Genomic DNA, 18,884 nt, shown 5'->3' with positions numbered 1-18,884 from the left:
GCACATTTGCTTTGGAAAAGATGCATTATTTATAATTTTTTGGGGTATTTTACTATACGTGAAGTGTTATCAAGGGTAACAAAATATAAGCATCTTTGCCCTCACCAGTTCATGATTTAGTTGTGGAGATAAGAAAAAATTAACTGAGAATACATGGGATCATGTAAGGTAGGTCAGGTGGCACTGAAATTGTGTGCTGTCAGATTTCAGAGGAAGGGGCGACTGCACTGTAAGTGGAGTGCTGGGGGATACCGGGCAGCCTGCCCAGACCCTGCTTCCTGCTCCGTCTGCTGCAGCTCCTGGAGATGTCAGTTCCTCTCCCTCTCATGGTTTCTCCATAGTATTTAACACAGTCATTATTGCCTGTTGGTCTTTTGCTATGGATTCTACTTCCCCCTTGCTCTCTCCTAATGAAGGAAGAGACATTTTGCTCAACTTTGTGTCTCCAGTGCCTGGCACATAATAACTTAATCCAGTGCTCAGCCCATTACATAAAGCAAATAGTAGTAAAAAAAACATTGAGGCCTAGAGCCAGCAGTGTTCCAAACAAAAATAATGGGAGTTTTATATGTAGTTTTACATTTTCTGGTGTCCACATTAAAAAAGGCAAAAATAGATGGATGAAATTAATTTTGATAATGTTTTATTTAACCCAGTATATCCAAATATATCCATTATAATTTCAACAGCTATCAGTACAATAATTATTAACGAGACATTTTACCTTTTTTCTGTAACAGTTCTTCAAAATCCAGTGTGTATTTTACACTTAGAGCACATCTCAATTCAGACTAGCCACATTTTAAGTGTTCAATAGCCAACTACATGTGGCTAGTGGTTTCCATTATGGACAGCACAGGTCTAGAAATTTAAGCAACTTGCCCAGCCACATCCAGTAACCTATTGATGGGACTGATACTATAGTCTGGAACCTTTTCCTCCTTTCCAGAAAATTCCTCACCAAAGGCTCAATGGCATGTTCTTTAGTGCCCAGCTGCCTATACCTAATTAGGGCATCTTGTCAAATGTTATAACCTGCTTTTTTTTTTTTTTTTTTTTTTTGAGACAGAGTCTCGCTCTGTCACCCAGGCTGCAGTGCAGTGGCACGATCTCGGCTCACTGAAAGCTCCGCCTCCCAGGTTCACGCCATTATCCTGCCTCAGCCTCCGGAGTAGCTGGGACTACAGGTGCCGACCACAATGCCCGGCTAATTTTTTGTGTTTTTAGTAGAGACGGGGTTTCACCGTGTTAGCCAGGATGGTCTGGATCTCCTGACCTCGTGATCCGCCCGCCTCGGTCTCCCAAAGTGCTGGGATTACAGGCGTGAGCCACAGTGCCTGGCCATAACCTGCTTCTTAACTTCAGACATAACCACTTCTCCCTTTTTGACTCTGCTATTTTCTTACCATGTGAGATCTCTTAGCAATTTCATTTATTTTCCTGGCTTAAGTTCTTACCTTGTAAGGGTCATGGCTGGAGCTGAGAATTGATGCATATGCATCAGTAGACGACAGCTTTGCATAAAAATAACGTAACAGGTGTAGTGAACAGAAAAGGAAGTCAGGAAGAAAGGCTAGTGAGACAGGTAATTCAGTATAGTAGATTAATATTTTTAATATATATTTTCCCTTAAGATTTCCAAATAATTTTCAGATACATTTAAAGTACATTCTTAATGCTGCTTTGTTTTGCAGTTTTGCTGGTGGAAATAGTACCACTCTCTTTATCTCAATGGGCCTTTTCATTGTAATTATTAGAACAAATTTTTAATGGCTCTGGGGTTTGTGTAATTAGCTTTGGTTACCAGAAAATAGAGAAATAAGTGACAATGAAAGCTCAGGAATGGTGGCAGACATAAAAAAATGCTTGTGCTGCAAAACAGCCAGAGGACCTGGTCAATGGAGGGGTTGTGAAAGGGGATTTCAGCAGTCATTTGGGTCTCCAGGTGTTCAGTTCTCTGAACAGGGTCAGCATGTTCTGCTTCATATCATGTTTAAGGTTAGTGATCTATAGGAAGAAGCTATGTGTGGGTTACCTGGATCGTAACATGCTCAGAGTTCCTTTCCTGTGGCAATATTCCTAGATTGGAATTCACTGTATGTGTAGCAGTATGTATGTATGTTCTAATCAATTGTCAGAGTGCAATACTTTTAGTGTTGTTTACAGCTAGGCAGACATTCTCATTTTTAAACTGCAGTGGTATGTGTGTTTTTAAAAAATAAAAATGAAACTGTTTCCTTTGGGTATCAGAACAACAAATTATGAACAATAAATGAATAACTATTTCCTTGAGCATCATCTTTAATGTATAATATATTAGCATACCTAGTTTATGACATTCTCGGTTAATAAGGACTTCTTAACCCAGAGTCTATGTGTGTCTTTGGGGTTATTGATAGACTGGAGAAGGTCCATTAACTCTCTGATATGTGGCCAAGTTTGTGCTTTGTGTATTGTGTATTGCTGTGTGAAAGAGTCCATAGTGTTGATTTGATTCTTAAAAAGTTGGAGAAAGGTACTAAATGGTATCTTAAAAAAATAATCATTTAAATAGAATATCCTTAATAACCTATTATATCCACAGAATGCTTGCAGTTTCCAGAGCTCTAGGAATTGGTGAAATATTTGGTTCTAAGCAATGTATTCAATCAGTTTTCAGATGTCCATTAATATAAAACAAGGCAGTTTTTATTATATTAAATTGCATTTGCAGCTCACATTCAAAAACTTAGTCTGCTTGCCTTTTCTCATGATAGGACCCGTGCCAGCCCCAACAAACTTAAAGATTACTGAAGTAACATCAGAGGGTTTCAGAGGGACTTGGGATCATGGAGCTTCAGATGTGTCTCTCTACAGAATAACTTGGGCACCTTTTGGAAGCTCAGATAAGATGGAGGTAGTTAACTCTCTTTATCTTTCTCTCTGTCTTTCATGTCCCATTTAATTTGTAGGGAAGCTTAGTTCAAAGAAGTATTACTCTTGTTGTCAATAAGCATTTATTGACATTTGAGCTCATGACATGCATCAGAGCAGGAGGAACATCTGGCTAAATAATGTGAATAAACTGCCATTGAGTGTGTATGATGTAAGTGGAGACTTACTTTTGCGTGGGTATGTTTTTGTCCTCTTTCTCCAAGACCATCTTAAATGGAGATGAAAACACTTTGGTGTTCGAAAACCTGAACCCCAACACCATCTATGAAGTTTCCATTACTGCCATCTATCCTGATGAGTCAGAAAGTGATGACCTGATTGGCAGTGAGCGCACACGTAGGTGTTTAGCTTTCAAATAGGACATTGATATTTTAAAGTTAATTTTTAAAAAATAGGGCTACAGCTATATTAGTAATGTGTTCCCAAATTCTGTTTTCTTTTAGTGCCTATCTTAACAACACAAGGTAAGAATTTAATTTGATGAATTGTTTGAATGAACAAATAATGAATGAATGTATAAATGAAAAGTACCATAAGATACATAATAAATAGGTCATCTGCTTTTAAATCCTAAGATGTTCATTGAGAACTCTTTTACATAGGCTTTTCTTGAAAAACTTTGCTTTGCTACTACTTGTTTTGGAGTGTATTGATCAGCTTGGGGTGCCATAACAAAAGATTAGACTGGATGGCATAAATAACAGAAATTTATATTCTCACAATTCTGGAGGCTGAGAAGTCCAAGACCAAGGTGCTATTCAATTCGTTTCTGGGTGGTGGCTTTCCTCCCAGCTTATAGCTAGCCAGCCCCTTTCTCGGTCTCTCTCATTTTCTCACTCTCTCACGTGGAGGAGAGAGAGAGAGAATAAACTCTCTCATGTCTCTTCTTACAAAGACTAATCCCATTATGGCAGCCCCACCCTCATGACCTAATCTAACCCTAATTACCACCCAAAGGCCCCATCTCTCAATACCATCATATTGGAAGTTGGAACTTCAACATGTCACGTTTGCAGGGACAGAAGCAAAATGAAAGTCCATACTAAGGAGTCATTTAAGAATCAATAACCATTTTTATTAAGGGAACGAATTTAATTATAAACCCAGAGGCATAGAATTCTCTGATTGCCTTGGGAGCTGTATATATTTTAGGGGGAGGCATTGTTCTGTCTGCTTACTCAGTTTTTCAACAATCTTCTTTCAGCTCCCAAAAGTGGCCCACGAAACCTTCAAGTGTACAATGCAACATCTAACAGCCTGACTGTTAAGTGGGATCCTGCTAGTGGTCGTGTGCAGAAATATAGGATCACTTATCAGCCTTCCACAGGGGAAGGCAATGAGCAAACGGTAATTTTTTAATAAAAATTATAACTTGGATTAATTCTACCATTTCTCTTCAAACTCTTTTTCCCCCTCAGTGCTTAGTTAGTCATACTTACTTTTTAAGGGATATTAAGATTTATCGCATTGGATGGAATAATCTGACTCTTTAGCTGGCACTCCACGTGGATTGCCATCATGGAGACTCAATGGATGTTCTCATGAGAGATGATAGTTGTTCTTCATTACAGCCCCAAAGCATGAGGCATGTGCTTCAATGCATCCATAGTTCCTTTAAAAACTATTAGTGCTGGATTATCCATGACGATATCCAGATAGTTTTTGAGTCTATGTTGACCTTCCATTCCTCTCTCTAACTTAATCAACTGCTGAAAGTTTGCTAAACTTACCTATAATGTTTATTTTCTATTTATCTCATTTCCCCCTGTTTTTTGCATGTCATAGGGTGTCTTCTAGATCTGGTGTTTCTAGATGTGGGAGCCTGTTAACCTAATTTACACTGTTTTTCATTTTTCTATTATCCAAATGGAGGTCCCCAAGAAAGATGGTAGGACTCGAAACTCAGTCTTCATCCTCTTTCTCTTCCTAGTCTTTCCCTATTTAATAGAACCTTTGTCCATTTTACCTCCCTTACTTTAGTTGTCTGGTTTTGGGCTTTCTACAACTTTGCCTTTTGTGAACTATGTAATTAGAACTGCATGTATTATCCTAGGTCAGGAAGCCTCATGATTTTTACATAGGTATGATTATGTTTTCTGATTCATTTCAAAATAAATCTCCAGTTTTGGTGAGGTACAGAGTTTTATTGACTTTTTTGGCTAGAATATTTTCTTATATAGCCTTAGAGACACATGTGTTATTAACCTTTAATCATCTGACTTGCCGAGCTCAAGCAAATGGGTCATTTCTCTTATCAGTTTAGAGGTATTAGCCAAGGTAGGGGTTGGCATTAATCTAAGGTGTGTGGTTAAAGATCTCTGATACTACCCAGTAAGTAAGCTTAGCTGAATCAGAAACCTTCCCATCTCTAGTGTGACTTTGAGTTGGTCTTTTGAGGCTTTTATAGCTCCAGTCTTAGGTAGTGTGATGCATTTGGACTGAGAATTTGTCTGTTTTAGGTAAATAGATTATAATTAATAAACTTAATATCAACTGTAATCAATAGACATTTATATGAAAATAAGACAAATTAGATGGACTGATATATTAACTTCAGAAACAGAACTTCTTTTTTTTCTGTGGCATGCCAGATTTCGGTAAAACTACAAATCAGGAGAAGCTTGTTCTTAGCATTTCCCATCTTGGGGGCATTGATGTTCCAGCTGCTTCTCCTAAGTCTCTTTTACTGTCTTTCAGCTGTTTGCTATCATAAAGAGTCTCGTAAACTTATCTTCTGGAAAGTATGAAGCCCTTAAGCTTTGTTAGTCTTTGGGGTACTTGGATTTTAACACTAGTCCGTGAAATCATGAAAATGATGAATAACTGATGCTAGAATTATTTTGGGGAGCTGGATGGGAGAGGTAGGTAGATGCCCCTCTGCTTACTCATAAAAGCAGTTCTCCTAAATAGGCTTTCAGATTTGTTATGTATTAAGTTTTTATCAAAATGGCTTATACTGGTATTGATACTTTTCTCTCATAACCTCAAATATGAAATTTATTAAAATTAGCCACGGTAGTTCAGTTTGTCCGTATTGAGGATGATGACCGTGATTCACTGGGTTTTTCTCTGGAATTCAGACTACTTGAGTGGATGAGTGCTAAGTTGGAAACATCTGGTTTGTTCTAGCACATCCAGCCATCTACATGTGCACTCATTTTGGGCAGTGTGCCATTTTCATGCGATTTTAATTAGTATGACATAAACATCTGAATTCGGTAGACTGTTAATAAATTGTACAAATTTTCTTTCAACAAGATAGCTAGATGGCCTTAAGTAACGAATAAAAACTTTAAGCTCCATAATTAGAGTAAATTGAAAAGCTTCATACCACGGGGCTGGTATCATGGAGACAACTGGAAACCCCTGATTGAGTGTGGCCTGGCAAAAGGTCTGGTCATGTCGTTAACACAGCTAAGGCTGTTAGAGTGACAGTGTTCTTGGGGGAAACACCAAGAGCTTTATACTGTATGCTGAATCATTTTAATGTGTTTCTAAAGCAAATAAAAACATCTGTTAAAAAGGTAAGAATAATATTAAGTGGTGTGGAGCCTCTAAAATTATGCAATTGTTTCATATCTTAAAGTCCCTTTGTAGCTCACTTATGATTAGTCCCCCCCGCCCCCTTTTTTTTTGAAGAGTTCTGTGAAATGTGTTTTGGATGAAATTTTGCAGTGCTGGCGGCTAGCAAGTTGAAATATCTTTTTGGGGTCACCAGTTTAAAGCTTGGAATCCTTTTTATGATTTGAGGTGCATATTTTACATTTGAAGTTATACCACAAGGTGTATGTTAAACCTTGACTGTGGTATGTAATTCTGGAACTTGACAAGGGTCTCAAACAGCTTCCCTGTAGAAAGAGCTTTTTCTAACAGATTAGTGAGATGGAGAGAGCAAGGCTGACACTTACCAAGACCCTTTTTACTCAAGACCACAATAGGAGGACGGCAGAACAGTGTGGTCCTGCAGAAACTGAAGCCAGACACTCCTTACACTATCACCGTATCCTCTCTGTATCCTGATGGTGAAGGAGGTCGGATGACGGGAAGAGGCAAGACCAGTAAGTGAAACCTGAGTTCCTATAGCTTCTTTAATAGCTACTATTAGAATGGAATCATCTCTTTATCTGGAAACACTGGGGTGACACAAAGTTTTACTAATATTTAAAAATTCATTTAGAAATAATATTAATAGTTTTTTCTTTTCTTTTTTTTTGAGATGGAGTCTTGCTCTATTGCCCAGGCTGGAGTGCAGTGGCACGATCTTGGCTCACTGCATCCTCTGCCTCCCGGGTTCAAGCGATTCTCCTGTCTCAGGCTCCCGAATAGCTGGGATTACAGGTGCACACCACCACACCCGGCTAATTTTTTATATTTTTGGTACAGATGGGGTTTCACCATGTTGGCCAGGCTGGTCTTGAACTCCTGACCTCAAGTGATCCACCTGCCTTGGGCTCCCAAAATGCTGAGATTACAGGCATGATCCACCGTGCCTGGCCATATTGATCGTTTTTAACATCCTTGCTTGGAATTACTTGTCTCTGTTTGTGGAGAAAGATGTTACTTTCTAGGATAGAAAGGTGCTCTAAGACCAAAATGTCTTGTGGATAGATGAGACATATGCATCAGGCTGACGCGGACACAGTGTGTGTCGTTTATTCACTACTTCAACAAATGTTTGTGCGGTGCCTGCTATGTTCTAGGGTGCCTGGGAGATATCAGTGAATCTGTGTTTCATGTGTGCTTGATTGTTAGCATTATACTGTGATGGGATTTCTGTGCATTTCAGAACCTCTAAACACTGTAAGGAACCTGAGAGTGTATGACCCTTCTACCAGCACCTTGAATGTCCGCTGGGACCATGCAGAGGGAAATCCTCGTCAGTACAAGCTCTTCTATGCACCAGCAGCAGGTGGTCCAGAGGAACTGGTAATTATTTCTTGTAGTAAAAAATGCTAGTTTGTTTAAATGGTAGCTGAGTGATTTAAAAGTGGAACTGAAGGAGTTAACCAGTTTGCTTTAGAGCTGAAGAATTTCATATTCATTTAATAAGACTTTATAGAGGGTAAATAGTTGATGCCTTAGAGCCTGGGTAACAGAGGGATTGTGGCCAGGATTCTTCCCCCTGGCCAGGGGAAGAAGCGGCCGTTCTGGGAAGTTCTAAGTGGGGAGTATTGGATGGCTGGAGGGGTATAGGGAAATATGTAACCTCTTGTAACAGGTCATGTGGGGGCTTATTATGACATCCTAATATTACAGAACCTACTTCTTGACTTGGTCTTGAGTTGGTATTGTGTTATTTGAATTATTATTTCTTTCACAAATTTTTCAAGTCAATGCTTTTTGTTTTATTAAAATCTTTAGGTACCAATCCCCGGGAATACCAATTATGCCATTCTTAGGAATCTGCAGCCAGATACCTCATACACTGTGACTGTAGTTCCCGTTTATACTGAAGGTGATGGGGGACGCACATCAGATACTGGAAGGACATGTAAGTAATAAAGCCAAAAAATTAATTTTTCATCATAAGTGTTGCTTTTCATTATAAAGACCATAAAGGCCCATTAAAGAGAATTAGGAAAGTTTGGTGTGATAGAATTAAAAACATAAAAATTAGCCATAGTTTACCTTCCTAACACCAAATGTTAACATTTTGTGTGAAATAACAAATTTATAATGGCATCTTCTTTTGAAATAATTTCAAGATTTGTAAAGGTACATATAATCATCAGTATACTACTTTGCTTAATCTCTTTCACTGACAAAAATTCATTGAGCTTTGCTTTCTGCTTTATAAATTGTTGTGAAGGACTTTACAATTGGCTTTCATAGTGCGAATTGTTGAAATCTGTTCGGCACATTACTTAATTTCATATGTCTTTGGTTTGTTTGTTGAAGTGCTTTTTTGATCTTAAAATCTGTATGCTTTCATTTAGGAAGCAGTTTATGTGGTTTTACTGTTTTTTGTAGTATTGCTTAAAGGCTTTTGTGCAGATTTAGAAATATTTCTTTGGCTTTAAAAATATACTTGCTGATAGTTAAAAGGAACCAAGCATGAATGTCTTCTTTTGGTTAGGGATTAGTGGTCTAGGAAGATGATGTTATTGGTTAAATTAGAGTTTGGAATTAGTACATCAATTTAATTGGTAGGTTTTTCTAAGTTCCTATTGGGGCAGTTAATTAAGAACTGGGTATATCTTATTTTTCTCTCCTTTTACCTTTTCTATTAATCACAAAGTTATTGAGTAGCAATTTGTTAAATGAAGAAGTAATGAATGGTTGAAACTAGCTGACTGAATCAGATGAGCTCAATAGCTGTTGTCAGATTTTACTTAGAAGGCAGACTCTTAAAAAATGTCTCTTCTTCCTCTCTCCATTACTTATGTTAGAAAACTGAAACTACTTTTCCTATTTCTTTTCTCTATCCCATGACCCTTTATGGCCAATCCAGTTCCACCACGTTTATTAGCTTGTTTTTAATTGAATACAATGTTGCTTCCTTATAGACAAAGGCCATACTTGCTAACTTTAACTAAATTTGGGTTTGGAGAGTTTTAATCTGCCTTTGTGTGTAGGTAATTAGAAGTATAAAGAAGATAGCATTTTATCCTGTTACAGAATGTAGGTTCTGGAAAAGTGATACAAAAGCTTGAGATATATAAACAGACTTAAAAAATAGATGTTGGCCTTCATTTCCTCAGTGATGAGAGGACTGGCAAGAAATGTCCAAGTATACAATCCTACACCTAACAGCCTCGATGTTCGCTGGGACCCTGCTCCAGGACCTGTGCTGCAATATCGCGTTGTGTATTCTCCTGTGGATGGCACAAGACCCTCAGAATCTGTAAGTAATTTTGTCATGGAAACTGCATTTCCTGGTGAATGTAGTCACATGTTTGTGTCACGTTTGATAGCCTGGGAGAACACAAACCACAAACATGCCAGTGTATAATACTTAAATTATTGTTTTTGATGACTTGAGGTAGGTGTATTAATTATAGGGTTAGTAAGAATAAAAAGAATTTTGGGAAAATGTGAATTAGCTGGATGAGTTAAAAACCCCAGTAATAAATGTAAATCATTGCTAGACCTTGTCAATATGTCTTTGTTATGAAAATAGTTTAAAGTTTACCTTCACTGGTTCTTACAAATTGCCCAATCTATCTTTCATTCATAACATTATTCAGTTTTGTAAGTAGACTAACAATTTAGAAATCAGAAATTGCTAATTTCAATAAGCATAGTATCAGAATACCTAAAGGAAAATAAACCTATGAACTAATTTGACTTATAGTCTTTGCAAAAATAAACAGTGTTGACAAAGATAAACAAATGATTAACAATATATGCATTTGGCAAGAACACTGATTTTCATGCCCATGTATGGTAGGACATATTAAGACAACTTTACCTGTATGTATTGTATGGAGTCTCTATTTCAACACAAAATCTCCCCCACCACAATAAGAGTTCCTATTCTTGTGTATTTAACATGCAGGATGTTTTTTGGGGAAATATCATGAGCTTTGCATGTTATATTTGAGAATCTTTATAACAAACATAAACGGAGATAACTGAAGCTACTAAGGGTCAAGGATGAGGTCACTTTTTTGGAAAGGGAATTTCTGAGGACAAATTTTGTTTAATGATATGGTCTGGGTGGATCTTATGGAGAAGCACAGTTGGCTTCTGATGTGTCTGGGCTCAACATTTTATTATAAATACTATTGTGATGACTAACTGAAGACTTGGTAAGCATTTGAGTTGTTGTCAGGCAGAATTTGGCATTTCCTCTCCTGCAGATAGTAGTGCCAGGAAACACGCGCATGGTGCATCTGGAGCGGCTGATTCCGGACACACTCTATTCCGTGAACCTTGTGGCTCTGTACTCGGATGGAGAGGGAAATCCCAGCCCTGCCCAGGGCCGAACGCGTGAGGCAGAAATCCTTTCTCCATTCCATTCCCTTGTAGCTAGATTGGCAGGGCTTCTCTGATTGAATGAGTGGTGGGAGGGGGGTGGTGAGAGATGGGTGCTTTCTGCCTGGGATCCCCTACATTTACATTCCAGGCGAAAACATTGGGTCTGTGACTGTTGTTTGTGTGACGTGAACTTCTTCTGTTCGTGTTCTCATTTGGGACATGAGTTAAGGAGGGGTTTCTCCCCTTTTTCCCCTCTTCTGCTCTGTATCTTCTTTTTTTCCCTCTTTCTACTCTGCAGTGAATCATCTTACCAAATGGGGACTTTGGAAATGTGAGGGTTTAGTCTTTATGTTTTATTGAATAGATATAGTTATAGTGGTTAAAATAATCCCCCTTTTTCCTAGTCTACCTTTCAAAGCTAGCTCTAGGTCACTGAAAGTTCAGCATGTAACCATAGCTCTGAAATACACTGTTTATGATTTCACATTAAAACCATAAATGTATATTTTATTATATGGGAGGAAACATCTGAGTGAATGGTGAATGAAACACATGCAAGCAACCTCCTTAATCTGACTTAGGTAATGCTCACAGGCAGGCAACAAACTCTATTGTATTTTATTTATTTAGTACCACGCAGTGGACCAAGGAACCTGAGAGTCTTTGGTGAAACAACCAATAGCCTCTCGGTAGCCTGGGATCATGCTGATGGGCCAGTTCAGCAGTACAGGATCATCTATTCTCCCACTGTTGGTGATCCAATTGATGAATATGTAAGTCTGATACTCATTTATTGGCACATTTTATCATCTTAGCTGAATGGACAGTGAAGTTAAACTTCTTTAGAGGTATGCTGTGAGTACGGTTGAGTCCTTGATAGTCACACTTTAGGATTTTCTCTGACATGACGTTGGGACCACCCAAATGTGCTTACTTAGTCTTTCTGGCCTCCCATACCACAGAGAAGCAATGTCTTTGGGCTCATTTTTATTCTAAAGACAGATAGAAAAACTATCTTATCACATGATTAACTGAGCATTTCTAACCACCTAATGACACCACAGGAACCAAGTTTAGTGAAATGTGATACCTATCATTCTGGAATGTCTAAGTTAATATTCAAATAATGTATTTATCCAAATCTTACCCTTTCCTCAAATCTAATTCCTCTACAAGGTCTCCCTTAAATATTCCAGTGTTAATTGATCTCTCTTTTCTTTAAACTTAACATTTTGCGGTACACTTTAGTTTTGGAATATAAATACTCTCCTATTAGCTTCAAACTTTTTGAGTGTCATAGTTTGTCTTTCCAGAACCAGATTCAAGTTTCTGGTAGCTTCCTCATAGCCCTCACTATGCACATCCATTTGTTATGAGTGGAAAAATGGAAAAACTAACTGCTTTATTTGAAATTTAGTGATTAATTGCTGTGATACATTTGCAGAATATTGCACAAGATGTTGATGGTAAATTAGGTCTGTGGTTTGCCATCTTTTTACCACATAGATCGTCTTAGATAATTTTCCCTCCCTGAGCCCCATGTGATGAAATATTTCATCTACTGGAACTTGATATAGTAACCTTTAATTCAAGTCCCTATTTTTATTAATAAGAAACACATGTAACTACCATTTATAGTTTCTGATCAAAATGAGATAAACAGTACTACTACAGTTAGTTTGCCAAAGCAGAGAAACTCATGGTTAGTGTTTGTTCAGCCTTGCCATGGACAAATATGCAATTTCCCTTTACTTTCCGAAAACATTAAAAATACAATTTATCATTTGTAGTTATAGGACTCCAGGCCAGGATTCACTGGCATACCTTATCCATGTTGTTTGTAGAAGCAAAGCATAGGTTTAGAAGAGAGATTGAGATGTCTGGTTCATTTCCTCTTCGAAGAGGTAGTTGAATGTATTCCCATCTGTTTCAGCTAACTAGTGTCAGCCAAACTGATATTTTTGAGGCCAGAAAGTTAGTCAATTTTTGCTCACCAGTGGATTCCCAGTAGCTAATACCTGTCCCACTGTGCCTGGTCCACAGCGGGTACTGGGTACATATTTGTACATGAAAATGGAACATGTGATGATGAGATCTGAAGGAAACAAACTTACTACTGAGTGCTGGAATACTCAGTAAGGTGTTCTGAAGCACACATGGCATTGCTTTTAATACAGTTTTCTTCAAAGATGTTAAGTCACGTGGCTGTTAAGTGGCTGATCTGGGATTTGAACCCAGAGCTGTCTGATTCTAAAACCACTCTCCTATGCTGCAGAGAAGAAGTGAAGATAGTTTGTCTTGTCACGAGCATTGTGTAACAAAAATAAAATGTGAAAAAAACTACTATTACTGTTTATGGGAATACATAAAACAATACTGTCTTTTGATCTGGAAGTCTTCTAGATGGTAATATATTTATAATTTAACTTCCTCTATAGACCACAGTCCCAGGCAGAAGAAACAATGTAATACTGCAGCCCCTGCAACCTGACACTCCATATAAAATTACTGTTATTGCTGTTTATGAAGATGGAGATGGTGGCCATCTAACAGGAAATGGAAGAACTGGTAAGTGTTTTGTACTCCCCCTTTTATTTTTGCTTTGAAATTGTCAATATGTTAATGTTGCTTTTATACCTTTTAAAACCTAAAATTTTATCTTTACCAATACATCTCAAATACCACACTAATATTGTATTATTTTTATTAGACATTAAATTTTGTCAAAATGATGACATGTGAAAGGAATTTGTTTTTAACTTTTTAAAGGTCCACTAAGAGAAGAAAAAGAAGACCATGTACATATTTTTATTCGCTTAAGATAGTTTTATTTCTTCTTTGGAAAACTATTGCATATTCTCTGAATAATGTTTCAACTGGTATGGTGTCAGTTAAGACTAAATTGTTAAGTCAATATAGTATCAGTAAGAAATATTCCATTGCGATTGAATCTTAAGCCATAAATACAGAAATGAGATGATGAGCAATCATTTTCTGTCTACAAATTTAGCTTTTTCTAAAAAAGAAAAATGTATTTTTTATTGTACTAAGCAATTTGCATAGAATTATCAATGTTCAGACCCATTTTTACACTATACTGGTGGTAATTTCTTAGGGTTTAAAAATTCTCTAATGTGGTTGCTTGCTACAGTCACCTGAGGAGCTTTAAAAATACTTACGCCTGGGTTCCACTCCCAGAGATACTGATGTAACTATGTGAGGTGTGGGCTGGACCTGCTGATGTTCTAATTAATGTGCAGCAATGGCTGAGAGCCACTAGTTTAGCATAAAGGTAGGATGAACTCTAGATCTGAGTTTTGTTACTGGTAGATATTTGCATTGCTGTTTTACACTTCATTCACCAAAAATCTACTTAAGTAACATGACTTCAGGTGTCTTTCTGCAGTCACTTGCCAAAAGTCTTTTTGTGCTTAAATGATCTTGACAACATTACAGAATTTGAAGAGGTGACATTTGAAAGCTCCTAAGGGAAAAGCAGGACTAGAGTTGACTCAGCTCAGTCTCTCAAGGTCAAGAATCTGTATTTATTGATATTGTTGTCTACAGACTGAGTCAATGGAGACTCACATGACTCAAGATGATTTTAACAACCTCACTTTTTAAATTTTCTCAGATTTTAGACTATATTTTGGGACTTTCCTGGGGAAAATGGCATATTTCAGAATTTCATGCTATCAAAGTGGATTTTTTTTAACTAGATCTTGGATTTTCCAGGAAGGGCCAAAGTCATGTTTTGTTTTTCTTATGAAAAAGAAGTTTTTCAAGTTGGATTCGTTATTTGCGCAATGCTGTGAATAGTAAACTCAGCAACTACTTAACATACTACCTGAACAGCATTGATTTTATAAGTTGTGGGCTTGGGGGCAGTATCTCTGGAAGCTTAAGGATTTATTCTAGGTAATGGTGGTGGAGGATAGAGAGGTACAGGGAAAAAACATTATTAGGTAGCTGGGGTGGTTTTGGGCAAATAATATCTTATGTATTTGATGAAGTGGTTGGACTAGATAGTTTCTAAATTGCTTTCTGTTTCCAACAATCTGTAATGTATGACATTCTAAAAATGATTTGAGATCTCTTTTATTTTCTATAATCCTGAGTCATAGAACACTTCCGCTCTGGATACTGCTTCCTGCTGAGAAGGCTGCTCTGGAAATCACTAGTTCTTGAGTCTATTTGAGTTGCTGTTTAAATTTGGAAAACTATTAAGCATTTTTTGAATACTTCAATGCCTTTTAATTGTTTTCTGGATAAAGACATTATGGGATATTATGAAATTGCTCCCATTGGGCTTTCCTACCGATACTTTTAAAGTTTTGTGCTCTCCCTGTGTGCCAATAAAAGGTCAGTAATGTGTGTCAATGTTTGTTTTCAGTGGGACTCCTTCCTCCTCAGAACATACACATCTCTGACGAATGGTATACAAGATTCAGGGTGTCCTGGGATCCTTCACCTTCTCCAGTTCTTGGATATAAAATAGTATATAAGCCAGTGGGTAAGGAAGTGCCTTTGTCATCATAGAAATGCTTTGGAGGGTTATTTGCATATGAGGGTATTTTCTCTTTCATCCCCCACTGTTGGGTTCTCCTGAGAGTTCAGATCACACCAAGTTTCCTGTAACCAAAGGCAATGTTTTTGGCAATAACATTTTAAGCCAGTCATCTAAAGTACCATTGTTATTATAGGTGTAGATGAGATTCTTATTAAATGTCATGATTAAAAAGTTTGACTTGGTTCATAAAGTTGCACAAATCAAAGATGCCTGTCTTCAGACATCCTATATGATCATGAAATAATGCATATTACATCAATATACCTATGTATTTTTCCCACTATGCCCAGGTATTATTTTATTTTGGGCATAGATTCCATGCAGCTTATTCATGACAGCCTTGCTTTCAAATCCCCTCTGAAAATTTCACCTAAATTAGTATCACCTTGATTAAATTATTTGTTATTTTTGTTTTAATATTTTGTCTGTATTCTTAGAGAAACTGGAAGAAAAATGCAGATTTCTTAGGGCATCTTCCATATATCCAGTAAGAGTATGAACTAGAAAAAACATGAAAGAGAGATGGCAAGATAAAGGAAGTAAAATTTGAACCTATGTAAGAAATAGAAAGAGAACTTAAAAAAGAAAGTGGGGTTGGTAACTAAGGAGTTTAGCAGCCAAAGTATGTGGAATGAGGTCCAAGATAGAAATTCTTAAATTATCTCTACAATAAATGAAAAAGTGTCAGTTGGACACCTACTATATGCAAAACACTATGTTGGCAAAATAGGGCTTGAGAAAGAAGCTTGAGAATTCATTCACTAAAGAAACATTGATTATATACCTACTATATTCCAAATACTGTGCTATGCTTTGAGAATAGGAGGGTGAAGGATTCAGTGTCTGCTTACAGTTTCATATTTGTCATATAACATAGCATGTGCCCCAGTGAGTAAGTGTATGAGGACTATGGAATTAATCGTGTTCATAATACCCTTTGACTATAAGATCTTTAATTTTAAGCAAAATTTCATGCTATTGATGGCATGTTTCTGTGTATTTTTGTGGTTGTTAATAAAGGTTCCAATGAGCCCATGGAAGCCTTTGTTGGAGAAATGACATCATATACCTTACACAATCTCAATCCCAGCACCACCTACGATGTGAATGTTTATGCTCAATATGATTCTGGACTCAGTGTCCCCTTGACAGATCAAGGCACTACATGTGAGTCATGGATATTTTCATGGTTGTGAGAAAAACTGTAGTAGAAATTACCAGGTCAGCCTGTTTTAATTTCCTGTTTCTGAACATATACATGTTTCCTCAGCATTATGTAGGCAGGCTATTTTGTGTCTGGTTAGACAAAATACCTATTCAAATACATAAATATTATAATTGAGTATATAAAAATATATATGGTGAGAAATTTGTGTATTTCACATAAAATATTATACTTTGAATTTTAAAAGATAAAAATTATAGAAATTGTCATTTTATCCATGAATGACCTGTAAAATTAGATCTGTGATGCTACTTAGTTCTTCTTGACATTTGATACCAAGATATATATTACCTAAATTCATTGATTTAATTTGACTTAATTATTGAATCATGATTAGTGTGATTCAGTCCACAGATATATTTTAAGGTCACCATTGCTTTGATAACTATTTAACGACTTAGCAGATAGCCTTTTAGAAATTGTTTTCATTATTTTCCATGAGATGTTTTTGAAATTCTTAGTTTTGAGAGGGACTATATGGAATTTCCTTTCCTTGAAAATCAGCGAAAGAAAGGGGGGTCTATTTTGGCAGTACCACATTTTTAAATATGATTCATGTATGTTTCTTATAAGGAAACATAATACAATTTTGAACTTTTTTTTAGCCACAGTGAAAGTTTGAAAATTGTGTTATGATTAAAAGTACACTTTTTGCCTCAATTTACAAAGTAAATCTCTTTCTTTCTTTATTTTGTAGTATATTTAAATGTAACAGATCTGAAAACTTACCAGATTGGGTGGGATACATTCTGTGTCAAATGGTCACCTCACCGGGCAGCCACCTCCTACAGGCTAAAACTAAGCCCTGCAGATGGTATGTGTGTAAAAAAGAAAAAAATGATCTGGAGCATGTAGTGGAAACATTTTAAATTTCAGTAAAGAAGATGCCATTTTGTTTATAACAATGCGATATAAAATTTTCTTGAAATATAATTGGTGATGACACTGGCATTTTCCTTTGTTGTCATAATCAGGAACAAGGGGACAAGAAATTACAGTGCGTGGATCAGAAACCAGTCACTGCTTCACTGGCCTTTCACCAGACACTGATTATGGTGTCACTGTTTTTGTGCAGACACCAAATCTCGAGGGACCAGGAGTCTCTGTTAAAGAACATACCAGTAAGTTTTTGAGGAATCTGGAAAGCTTTCATAAGGCTTTAGAATAGAATGCTCTAGGTAAGGAAGACTTAAGTGAATCCTGTGCAGGTACCTCTCCGTAGGGGTAGCAATAATGATGGGATGATGGCAGATTCCTGAATGTGGAGTCTAAAGCTGGTTCAGGACCTTTTTCTGTAGCAATTTGCAAGTTGTCCCTGTTATTGAGTTGGTGCTACTTTGAGGAAGGGCTAAAGGAGGGAGAGATGGCTCTCGCTGAGAAGGTGAATTCATATTAGTGACTTTTACTCATTTGACCCTATCTGAAGGCCTTACATTTTCCCTTTAGATCTTTATTTTCTGTAGCTGTAGTGGATGTTGAATGACTACCAGTGACATCAATTTGGATGGAATAAAATCCCCAGCATGTCAGTACCGATGACAATGGTGTCTCATTTTGTACGACTTGATTTGGTATCCAGGATTTAAATTGCTCTTAAAATTTACTTTCTGGGATATCAAATGTGCACATGGTGTGTTTTTATAATTATTATTTTTAAATTTTAGCTGTGAAACCAACAGAAGCCCCTACAGAGCCACCCACACCTCCTCCCCCTCCCACCATTCCACCAGCCCGGGATGGTAAGTACAGCTAAATAGGCAATACGTTCAGCTGATAGGGAGTTACAGACTTCTTATTTACGCTGCATGTGCATCATTTACAATTAATATAGAACATTTCTGATCTATTATTGCTGCTGAAGAGTTTTTAGATTGAAAGAAAAGATAACCAGTAATTTGTTTCTCTCCATCTCTGGGCACATTTTGGTGTGAATAAAATCAGTCATAAATTATTCCAGATCTTCAGCTGGAAGTCTGTTTCCTCAGTTTTACAGATTTAGGTCTTCCATGGTCCATAGTTACATGGTGGACATTTCTTTCTGCTAGCTGCTGGCATCAGTAAGCGCTGTGAACCCTTTTGGCTATATTTGCGACCGAAGCCCTGAGGCTGTTGGCTTTAAAATTCCTGGTGTCCAACCTGAGAAGTTCCCTGGATTATACAATGCTAAAAAATTTTCCATTCACCAAAATTTGAAAGATAATTGTAACTTGCAGTGAACTGGTGAAACGACATACT

At 37.1% G+C, this 18,884-nt stretch overlaps 1 protein-coding gene and 1 non-coding gene across 11 annotated transcripts in view; both read left to right on the top strand.

The window, feature by feature from the left end:
- The window catches only part of COL12A1 (collagen type XII alpha 1 chain), a 121,728-nt gene that overhangs the window by 64,336 nt on the left and 38,508 nt on the right, over positions 1-18,884 (top strand). For 9 of the 10 annotated variants that reach the window (NM_001424116.1, NM_080645.3, XM_011535435.2 and 6 more), the window contains 16 exons: positions 2,757-2,896; positions 3,138-3,270; positions 3,378-3,398; positions 4,139-4,281; positions 6,863-6,992; positions 7,721-7,860; positions 8,296-8,425; positions 9,636-9,778; positions 10,737-10,866; positions 11,485-11,627; positions 13,293-13,422; positions 15,248-15,367; positions 16,445-16,591; positions 17,347-17,463; positions 17,624-17,770; positions 18,314-18,388. In NM_001424116.1, the coding sequence (NP_001411045.1) occupies positions 2,757-2,896; positions 3,138-3,270; positions 3,378-3,398; positions 4,139-4,281; positions 6,863-6,992; positions 7,721-7,860; positions 8,296-8,425; positions 9,636-9,778; positions 10,737-10,866; positions 11,485-11,627; positions 13,293-13,422; positions 15,248-15,367; positions 16,445-16,591; positions 17,347-17,463; positions 17,624-17,770; positions 18,314-18,388 (1,989 nt within the window). The remainder of the gene's footprint in view (positions 1-2,756; positions 2,897-3,137; positions 3,271-3,377; positions 3,399-4,138; positions 4,282-6,862; positions 6,993-7,720; positions 7,861-8,295; positions 8,426-9,635; positions 9,779-10,736; positions 10,867-11,484; positions 11,628-13,292; positions 13,423-15,247; positions 15,368-16,444; positions 16,592-17,346; positions 17,464-17,623; positions 17,771-18,313; positions 18,389-18,884) is intronic. The other variant, NM_001424114.1, reaches the window with a different exon arrangement.
- SNORD156 (small nucleolar RNA, C/D box 156) lies at positions 12,936-13,009 on the top strand. Its single transcript, NR_145788.1, has one exon. It is a non-coding gene; the product is annotated as a small nucleolar RNA, C/D box 156 (small nucleolar RNA).

This window comes from Homo sapiens, chromosome 6, assembly GCF_000001405.40.
Source record: "Homo sapiens chromosome 6, GRCh38.p14 Primary Assembly".
In the NCBI taxonomy this organism is placed as follows: Eukaryota; Metazoa; Chordata; class Mammalia; order Primates; family Hominidae; genus Homo; species Homo sapiens.
This window is presented reverse-complemented; position numbering and strand designations above follow the sequence as displayed.